Source organism: Homo sapiens, chromosome 10 (genome assembly GCF_000001405.40).
Source record: "Homo sapiens chromosome 10, GRCh38.p14 Primary Assembly".
Taxonomy (NCBI): domain Eukaryota; kingdom Metazoa; phylum Chordata; class Mammalia; order Primates; family Hominidae; genus Homo; species Homo sapiens.
This window is the reverse complement of record NC_000010.11, coordinates 50,761,089-50,772,501: the sequence shown is the minus strand read 5'-3', so window position 1 is coordinate 50,772,501 and position 11,413 is coordinate 50,761,089.

Sequence of the window (11,413 nt, the reverse complement as noted above, 5' to 3'; positions counted from 1 at the left end):
CCAGCATGCTGCTGTGTGCCGAGCTCTCTGCCAAATTTTGGTCAATGTGCACAATTTATTTGCACTCTTACTAAAGATGCATGTGGTTCTCAGATTCTTAAAATGATCACCATTTAGCATTCTGTCACCATTTGTGTAGAATGGCTTACTGCGCTGACCATGTACTTATGTAACCCCAAGGCTAAGTCCTTCCATGTTCCACTAAACTTGTGACATTTCTCTGGCACCAGTTGAATGTTGTCAATGCCTCTTACCTACAGAAGACTGAGTGCTCTTTACCCCTCTACAACATGTCACACAATTTTTTTCTTGGCTCACTGTTCTGACAGGTGCCATTATAATAGTGTGTTCCCTCTCTAGTAGTAAAAATGAATTGCACGTATTTACTGAGGTATACGGTGTTGTCCAGCCCCATGTTCTAGAACTAATATAAGGATCTCTTTCCATCTTGAAACTTGTTCTTTATATCAGTGGTTACCTTTTAATCTCTTAAAATGTATTACCAAAAATTCAACTATTACAAATAAATCATGAAGCTTGAAAGATTAAAAGCCACAATCTAGAGGGCTCATATTAGGTTGTGAACAGCAAAAGGGTTCAAGGAGGCTGCTTCTTCTGGTTTTAGTGTACATTCATGTTTCTCAAACTTAGGTCTTTCTAGGAGTTCAATGGTTATCTATAAGAAATTTATAATGTTCTATTTTGATTCCAAGCAAAGTCAAAATATTTATATAAGTGCAGGACTGTTCTCCAGGTGGCCTTGGACTGACCAAGTTCTCACCTTCTTATTTGTAGTTCTTAAGAGTAACTAGAATGTGCTGAAAGTGCAATATCCTGAGGAAGGGAGGAATTGCATGGAATAGCCCAGGCCTTATTCCTGTCCCTCCTAGGGAATGTAACATTTTGAGTTAGGCAAGAACTGCCTAGTACAGCTTAGGCTTTGTTCCTCTCTCCCCTGGAAGCAGGATGTTCTTTGAAGTTTTGCTTAGTGAGCCACATTGCTCCTGAGGTATATAATCCAGAAGAGGCTGCCTTTCTGGGTCCTTCAGCTGTAGCACAAGTGGGACACGTGGAGTTGAGGCACCATCTGCCCCAGGAATGTTTCTTGAACTTTGGGGGACTGTCTCACAATGTATCCTAGACAGAGTCTTGCTCTGTTGCCCAGGCTGGAGTGCAGAGGCACGATCTCGGCTCACTGCAAGCTCCACCTCCCGGGTTCATGCCATTCTCCTGCCTCAGCCTCCCGAGTAGCTGGGACTACAGGCACCCTCCACCACGCCCAGCTAATTTTTTGTATTTTTAGTAGAGATGGCTTTTCACCATGTTAGCCAGGATGGTCTCGATCTCCTGACCTCGTGATCCACCTGCCTCGGCCTCCCAAAGTGCTGGGATTACAGGCGTGAGCCACCGCACCTGGGCTCTAGGCTTCTTTTATCACTTTCTGCCTGTTGTAGGTAATAAATCTACTTCATTTAACTTGTTGCATAAGAGTGTGTTCTGTCTCACCAGCTGCAAACAAGTTGGTAACAAGTGCACAGTGAACTTGCTCCATAATAAGCACACTAGGAACTATATTGAGTACTTCTTATGTGCTAGGGATTCTAAGGGTTTAACATGCATATCTCATTAATCCTCACAAGGTTAGATAAAGTATTACATTAGAGTTGAAGAAAAAGCATAGAACACTTATTAGCTGGGCCTAAGGATGCACAGCTGATAGGTGATAAGGATAGGACTCAAACCCAAAGTGTGTTACTCCTAGGCCCACCTTTGTAATCACTACACTATGCTATTCCTTAAACTATCACAGTTTACTGAAGAAAGAAGTGAGATGGGCTTAAATGTAATTGATGCCTTGTGCCACGTGATGATCAACTGATGCCTTGGCATCTGCTCAAATATGAACTTCATGATAGAACAAACAGAGAAGACATACAGAATAGCAGAATGGATTAAAAAAAAATTACAATCCAAATATCTGCTATCTTCAAGAGACTCACTTAACACAGAAGGATTCATATAAACTCAAGGAAAAAGGGTGGAAAAAGGTATTCTATGCAAATGGAAACCAAAAGTGAGCACAAGTAGCTATTCTTTTTTTTTTTTTTTTTTTTTGTAGACACATTCTTGCTCTGTTGCCAGGCTGGAGTGCAGTGGCATGATCTTGGCTCACTGCAACCTCCGCCTCACGGGTTCAAGCAATTCTCCTGCCTCAGCCTCCCAAGTAGCTGGGACTACAGGCGTGTCATGTTGGCCAGGATGGAGCTCCTGACCTCGTGATCTACCCGCCTCAGCCTCCCAAAGTGCTGGGATTACAGGTGTGATACACTGCCCCCATCCAGAGTAGCTATTCTTATATCAAACACAACAGACTTCAAAGCAACAACAGTAAAATATATATATATAAAGATGGTCACTATACAATGATCAAATGAATTGATAATCAATTCAACAAGAAGATATTATAATCCTAAATTTATATGCACCAAACACTGGATCTCCCAGATTCACAAAACAAATACTACTGCACATAAGAAATGAGATAGATAGCAAAATAATAGTAGTGATAGACATAGCACTAGACAGATCTTTGAGACATAAGGTCAACAGAGAAACAACACACTTAAATGGCATGCTAGAACAAATGGACTTAACAGACATTTACAAAACATTCTACCTAAGATCTGCAAAATATAAATTTTTCTCATTAGCACATGAAACATTCTTCAAGATAGACCATATGATAGCTCACAAAACAAGTCTCAATCAGTTTTTTTTAAAATTGAAATCATATCAAGTATCTTTTCAGACCACAGTGGAATAAAATTAGAAATCAATTCCAAAAGAAACCTTCAAGACTACAAATACATGGAAATTAAATAATCTGCTACTGAATGATATCTGGGTTAACAGTGAAATAAAGATAGGAATTAAACATTCTTTGAATTGAAGGATAATAATGACACAAGCTATCAAAACCTCTGGGATATAACAAAAGTGTGCTAACAGGAAAGCTGATAGCACTAAATGCCTTCATCAAAAAGTTTGAAAGAGCACAAATTGACAACCGAATGTCACACCTCAAGGAGCTGGAAAAACAAGAACAAACTAAACTTAAAGCTAGAAGAAGAAAAGAAATAACAAAGATCAGAACAGAATTAAATGAAATTCAAACAAACAAAAAGATCAGTACAACAAAAAGTTGATTCTTTGAAAAAACAAACAAAATTAATAACCATTGGCTAGATTAACCCAGAGAAGAAGAGAGAAGATCCAGATAAGCTCAATTAGAAATGAAACTGGAGACATTACAACCGACACCATAAAAGTACAAAAGATCATTGAAGACTATTATTGTAACTGCCCAGTGGGTTCACCTTGCCCGCTGCCTAGACAGAGCAGATTTATCAAGATATGGGAGTTGCAGTGGAGAAAAAGTAATTCATGCAGAACCAGTTGTGCAGGAGACCAGAGTTTTATTATGACTCAAATCAGTCTCCCTGAGCATTCAGGAATCAGAGTTTTTAAAGATAATTTGGTGGGTAGGGGCTTGAGAATTGGGGAGTGCTGACTGGTCTGATTGGAGATGAAATCATAAGGGGTCAAAGTGAATTTTTCTTGCTGTCTTCTGTTCCTGTGTGCGATGGCAGAACTGGTTGAGTATTCTTGCCAAAAGAAAAAAAATTGACCTGAATCTAATCAAACTGTTAGATCTAGCTAATATGTAAAGGAAACAGCAAGGATAGAAGAAGTTAAAATACACCATGAATAAACAATTTGTCAGAAGAAGCAATGGGAAAATCTACTGGATAAACAACAGGATTTCCTTAACAAACAAAGGCATGAAAGAAGAGATCATGAGAAATGTTATATATTAAGAGTGACATAAGAGAGAAACCAAATGCTATGTATGGAACTTGTCTGCACTCTGGTTAAACAAATCCAGTGTAAAAGACATTTTTTTAGATAATCATGGAAATTCGACCACAGACTGGGTATTGGATGATGTTAGGGGGTTATTGTTAACTTTGTCAGACATGAGAATGACCCTGTAGTTAAGATTTTCTTAAGTCGTTATCTGTTAGAAAAATATACCAAGGTATTTACAGGGTAAATACTCTCCAGCTCAACCTCCCTCTCCATTCCAGAGAATGGTGAGGAGACAGATGAAACAACATTAGCAAAATGTTGGTACCTTCTGAAGTCGGACAATGGGGTAGGTGGAGTATCATCAGACTATTCCCTCTAGCTGCTTGTATGTTTCAAAATTTCCATGATAAAAGGATTTTTTAAGGTCTCAGAATACTCAATGACAGTCTAAGGTTGGAATCACAGTGGAATTCTCACGATGCGCCTCCCATGGTAGAGGCACAGGAAGAGTAATATGTATGGAAGGGGATCCTCAGGTTCCCCTTGGCAGGCTTCATATTCCCCAGCAAGGAGGAAACATGGTATTTCCACAGGACCCCACTACATTTTCTGCTAAAAGGTGGACACTGTTTAAAGAAAATAAAAAGCCCCCCAAAGATTGGAAGATCTCTCTTCAATACGGTCTGTAAAGCATTCTCTATTCATAAACGCATTTCCTGAAATAGAACATATTCACATATTTAAATGTAAAGTGAATCACTTACAGAAAACACTGTTATTACTTTCTGCAATGCCTTTCTACAATCTGAATACAACTGTCTTCTGCCTTAATTTAAAACTAGGCCTACCATTTTTTTTTTTATTTTTTGAGACGGAGTCTCTCTCTTTCGCCCAGGCCTGACTGCAGTGGCACTATCTCCGCTCACTGCAAGCTCCGCCTCCTGGGTTCACGCCATTCTCCTGCCTCAGCCTCCTGAGTAGCTGGGACTACAGGCGCCCGCCACCGCGCCCGGCTAATTTTTTTGTAGTTTTAGTAGAGACGGGGTTTCACCGTGTTAGCCAGGATGGTCTCGATCTCCTGACCTCATGATCCACCCGCCTCGGCCTCCCAAAGTGCTGGGATTACAGGCGTGAACCACCGCGCCTGGCCTAGGCCTACCATATTTTTAAAAGTACAGCACAATTCCTTTCTGGTTTTGCCTCCATGTAAACAGAAAGAAGGACTATACACTGACATTTCCCCTATTTGCTGCAGAGCTTATAGTACTTGCATAATAAATTAGAGAGGAAAAAGACCAACTCAGTTCAACTGCAACTGAGAAGAAACATGCATAATGATACTTATCCTGATTCTGTCAACTTGTAAATATGTATAATAGATATTCACACTTACCCACAACCCATAAAAGATGAATTTCCAAAATTGCAGAATATTTATTCTCTGTAAAATTTTAGTTAGAGCTGCATCCCAGATGACTCATTTGGCATTTAATCGTATGTAAATTAGTTTTGGAATTTACTACAGTCTTTGATAATGATAGATGACATTCACAGGCAACCAATGATAGACAAGATCACTTGCCATAAAATGACTATGTTATCCAGGAAAGTAAAGAAGAGACATAATTACTGGCCCTCTAAACTGGAAGGCACCCAAGAATCTCTTTTAGTAGGTGACTAAAGGGGAAGACATTTATCTATTGACCAGTGTATTTATTTCCAAAGCCTGCCATAGCAAAGTAACACAGATGGGGTGGCCTAAACAACAGAATTGTCTCATGATTCTGGAGGCTAGAAGTTCGAGACCAAAGTGTCAACAGTGCTGGTTCCTTCTGAGGGCTATAAAAAAGAATCTGTTCCATGTCAGCCTCCTAGTTTCTGGTGATTGCTGGCAATCTTTGGCAATCATTTGCTTGTAGAGGCATCACTTTGATCTCTGCCTTCCTGTTCACATTTCATTCTTCCTGTATGTGTCTCTCCATGTGACATTCTTTTTTATAAAAACAACAGTCATACTGGATTACGGACCCACTTTACTCCAGTATGATGTCATCTTAATTAATCACATCTGCAATGATTTTATTTCCAAATAAGGTTGCATTCTGAGATACTGAGGGTTAGGTCTTCAACATATCATTTTGGGGATACACATTTCAACCCATAACAACTCAGAGAGTCAAAAAAACAAAGAGGCCACCATACCATTTTCCACAGGTCAACTAGTAAAGACCTGCTTTCTGATTGTATACAAATATGTTGACATTTGTCCTAACCACAGTAGAAAAAGTATATAAATGGTAGCCTTCATAGGGCTGTAACAGGTATGTTATTTAGAATCCATGTTCCAGATGCTTTAACAATGAGATGATACAGTGAAAAATGAGATAGAAGTTTATTTTCCTTTCAGTTAATCATCTGAGAATAAGCACTTTAGGGATGATTTAACAGCACTGAACTATTAAGGACCCTGGGATCCTTTATATTATTGCCATCTTCAACATGAAGTTTCCATCTCTGGGCTTTTGCCATCATGTTTGCCACACACCTATTAAGAAGGAAATTAGGGCAAGGGAGTTGTATTTGTCCATTCTTGCATTGCTATAAAGAAATACCTGGGCAGGGTGTGGTGGCTCACACCTGTAATCCCAACACTTTGGGAGGCCCAGGAGGGTGGATCATCTGATGTCAGGAGGTTGAGGCCAGCCTGACCAATATGGTAAAACCCCGTCTCTACTAAAAAAAAATACAAAAATTAGCCAGGCATGGTGGCATGTGCCTGTAGCTCCAGCTACTTGGGAGGCTGAGATAGAAGAATTGCTTGAACCTGGGAGGCAGAGGTTGCAGTGAGCCAAGATCATGCCATTACATTCCAGCCTGGGCAACAAGAGCAAAATTCCATCTCATAAATAAATAAATAAATACCTGAGACTGGGTAACTTAAAAAGAAAAGAAGTCTAATTGGCTCTCAGTTCTGCAGGCTGTACAGAAAGCATCGTGCTACATCTGCTTGCTTGACTTCTGGGGAGGCCTCCAATAACTTACAACCATGGCTGAAGGCAAAGGGGAGCAAGATATCTCACATGATGGGAGCAGGAGCAAGAGAGAGCGTGAGTGGGGAGGTGCTAGACACTTTTAAACAACCATATCTCTCCAGAATTCACTCACTATCATGAGAACAGTGCCTAGAGAATGGTGCTAAACCATTCATGAGAAACTGCCCCCATGATCCAATCACCTCCCACCAGGCCCCACCTCCAACATTGGGGATTACAATTCATCATGAGATTTGGTGGGGACACAGATCCAAATCATATCAGCAGTGTATGCCCATTACTTTTGAGAGTACAAGAGGAAAGTAGAACACATCACTTCTCTCATCTCATCGAACAGAACTTAGCTATACGGCTACAACCGGCTTCTAGAGGTAGCCCTGGGCTATACCAAGGCTGGGAAATACAGTCCTAACCCATGACCAGTTAAAACTATCACTGTGGAAGAATGGGAGAGCAGATTGTGGTGTGGAGTCTAATGGTCTCTTTCACAGCCAGTCAACCTAATAAAACTCCGCAACTCCTTATAATCCCCTTCCACTCTTATGAAATTGCTGTTAAGTTTCAAAGGCTTAATTCAGTCCTTATCCCTTGAAGCTTCTCTACAATGTTTGATATAATTGACCTGCTTGGAGTTCTTTCTTCCTGATATAGTTTGGCTTTGTGTCCCCAGCCAAATCTCACCTTGTAACCCCCATAAATCCCACGTGTTGTGGGAGGGACCCAGTGAAAGATAATTGAATCATTGGGTCCAGTCTTTCCCACGCTGTTCTCATGTTAGTGAATAAGTCTCACAAGATCTGAGGGTTTTAAAAATGGGAGTTTCCCTGCACACCCTCTCTCTCTTTGCCTGCTGCCATCCACATAAGATGTGATTTGCTCCTCCCTGCCTTCTGCCATGATTATGAGGCTTCCCCAGCCACGTGGAACTGTAAGTCCATTAAACCTCTTTCTTTTGTAAATTGCCCAGTCTTGGGTATGTCTTTATCAGCATCGTGAAAACAGACTAATACACTGCCCCTTCTCTTCTAATTGTTTCTTCTTAATAATATTACTTTCTGGCCCTGCTTCTGTTCATCTTCCTTAAAGTAAGTGGTTCCAAAAGGCCTGTCATCCAAATCTCTTTTCTCTTTCTTATATGCCCTCCCTTTTGCAAAGTCATCAACTTCCTTGATTTCAACCATCAGTTTGAAGTTTGATGCTTCCCATATATCTGATCTGTTGCCCTACTTTCTCTCCAGTGTCTCTACTCCACATTTCCCACTATGTGCTGGACTTTGCTATATCTTGTCAAAGTCTCAGACATCCAAAACTAGATTTACCATCATCTCTCTGAAATCTGTTTCCTTTTACCTTGGCTCTTGTTTATAGCATTACTATAACCCAAATGTTTTAGAGTTTGGGTGGTTGTAACTGTCTTCTCCCTACCTTATCCAGTCAATGAGTATATTGTGTCCATTGTAACTCTGGAGTTTTATACACCCACACCTTTCTGACCTGTTCCTAAAGCCATTGTTCTTGTTCTTGTTCTGACTTCATTACCTCTTAGTCTAGACCATTCTACTAATTTCTCTCCTCATTCTAACTCTTCCTATACTAATATCAGGGATGCCAAAGCACAACTTTGAAAAAGATCAGGGAAAGCATAGTCATTGTGGCTGACCATGATTCCAGTCTCAATGGTAGAACTTTTTAGTTCCTACAATTTTCCAGATACTTACATGCGATATCTCATATAATACTCAGTAACATCTAACTAAATTAACAGCTAAGTAAATTAAGTGCATACATACACCAGGCACTGTGCCAAGAACTGTACCTTATTTTAATCTCACAACCTAAAAAGGTAAGTACTATTATTGTTCTCTTTTTGTATACTAAGCAACTGAGAGGAAGAAACAAAGGCTTTACAAAACTGAGTAATTTACTCACGGTCTAATATTGGTTAAATGGTGAAACTAGGATTTGAACCACTTAGTTTCCAAAATACCCTCTCATAAACATTAACTTAACCTCATAGCAATTATAGAAGGTCATTATTACTATTATTATTTCATAAACAAAGGAAATTAAGTAATCTTAAATTGACCAGACTTCAAAGCACAAGTTCTTTCTTTTCTTTTTCTTTTTTGTTATTGTACTTTAAGTTCTAAGATACATGTGCACAATGTGCAGGTTTATTACATATGTACACATGTGCCATGTTTGTGTGCTGTACCCATTAACTCCTCATTTACATTGGGATATCTCCTAATGCTTTCCCTCCCCCCTCTCCCCACCCCACAAAAGGCCAAGGTGTGTGATGTTCCCCTTCCTGTGTCCAAGTGTTCTCATTGTTCAATTCCCACCTATGAGTGAGAATATGTGGTGTCTGGTTTTTTGTTCTTGCAATAGTTTGCTGAGAATGATGGTTTCCAGTTTCATCCATGTACCTACAAAGGACATGAACTCATCATTTTTTATGGCTGCATAGTATTCCATGGTGTATATGTGCCACATTTTCTTAATCCAGTCTATCATCGATGGACATTTGGGTTGGTTCCAAGTCTCTGCTATTGTGAATAGTGCTGCAATAAACACATGTGTGCATGTGCCTTTACAGCAGCATGATTTATAATCCTTTGGGTATATACCCAGTAATGGCATGGCTGGGTCAAATGGTATTTCTACTTCTAGATCCTTGAGGAGTCTCCACACTGTCTTCCACAATGGTTGAATTAGTTTACAGTCCCACCAACACTGTAAGAGTGTTCCTATTTCTCCACATCCTCTCCAGCACCTGTTGTTTCCTGACTTTTTAATGATCTCCATTCTAACTGGTGTGAGATGGTATCTCATTGTGGTTTTGATTTGCATTTCTCTGATGGTCAGTGATGACAAGCATTTTTTCATGTGTCTTTTGGCTGCATAAATGTCTTCTTTTGAGAAGTGTCTGTTCATATCCTTCACCCACTTTTGATGGGGTTGTTTTTTTCTTGTAAATTTGTTTGAGTTCATTGTAGATTCTGGATATTAGCCTTTGTCACATGAGTAGATTGCAAAAATTTTCTCCCATTCTGTAGGTCGCCTGTTCACTCTGATGGTAGTTTCTTTTGCTGTGCAGAAGCTCTTTAGTTTAATTGGATCCCATCTGTCAATTTTGGCTTTTGTTGCCATTGCTTTTGGTGTTTTAGACATGAAATCCTTGCCCACGCCTATATCCTGAATGGTATTTCCTAGGTTTTCTTCTAGGGTTTTAATGATTTTAGGTCTTACATTTAAGTCTTTAATCCATCTTCAATTAATTTTTGTATAAGGTGTAAGGAAGGGATCCAGTTTCAACTTTCTCCATATAGCTAGCCTGTTTTCCCAGCACCATTTATTAAATAGGGAATCCTTTCCCCATTGCTTGTTTTTGTCAGGTTTGTCAAAGATCAGATGGTTGTAGATGTGTGGTATTATTTCTGAGGGCTCTGTTCTGTTCCATTGGTCTATATCTCTGTTTTGGTACCAGTACCATGCTGTTTTGGTTACTGTAGCTTTGTAGTATAGTTTGAAGTCAGGTAGTGTGATGCCTCCAGGTTTGTTCTTTTGGCTTAGGATTGTCCTCACAATGTGGGCTCTTTTTTGGTTCCATATGAACTTTAAAGTAGTTTTTTCCAATTCTGTGAAGAAAGTCATTGGTAGCTTGATGGGGATGACATTGAATCTATAAATTACCTTGGGCAGTATGGCCATTTTCATGATATTGATTCTTCCTACCCATGAGCATGGAATGTTCTTCCATTTGTTTGTATCCTCTTTTATTTCATTGAGCAGTGGTTTGTAGTTCCCCTTGAAGAGGTCCTTCGCGTCCCTTGTAAGTTTGATTCCTAGGTAATTTATTCTCTTTGAAGCAATTGTGAATGGGAGTTCACTCCTGATTTGGCTCTCTGTCTGTTATTGGTGTATAAGAATGCTTGTGATTTTTGCACATTGATTTTGTATCCTGAGACTTTGCTGAAGTTGCCTATCAGCTTAAGGAGATTTTGAGTCGAGATGATGGGGCTTCTAGATATACAATCATGTCAACTGCAAACAGGGACAATTTGACTTCCTCTTTTCCTAATTGAATACCCTTTATTTCCTTCTCCTGCCTGATTGCCCTGGCCAGAACTTCCAACTCTATGTTGAACAGGTGTGGTGAGAGAGGGCATCCCTGTTTTGTGCCAGTTTTCAAAGGGAATGTTTCCAGTCTTTGCCCATTCAGTATAGGCTGTGGGTTTATCATAAATAGCTCTTATGATTTTGAGATATGTCCCATCAATACATAATTTATTGAGAGTTTTTAGCATGAAGGGCTGTTGAATTTTGTCAAAGGCCTTTTCTGCATCTATTGAGATAATCATGTGGTTTTTGTCTTTGGTTCTGTTTATATGCTGGATTACGTTTATTGATTTGCATATGTTGAACCAGCCTTGCATCCCAGGGATGAAGCCCACTTGATCATGGTGGATAAGCTTTTTGATGTGCTG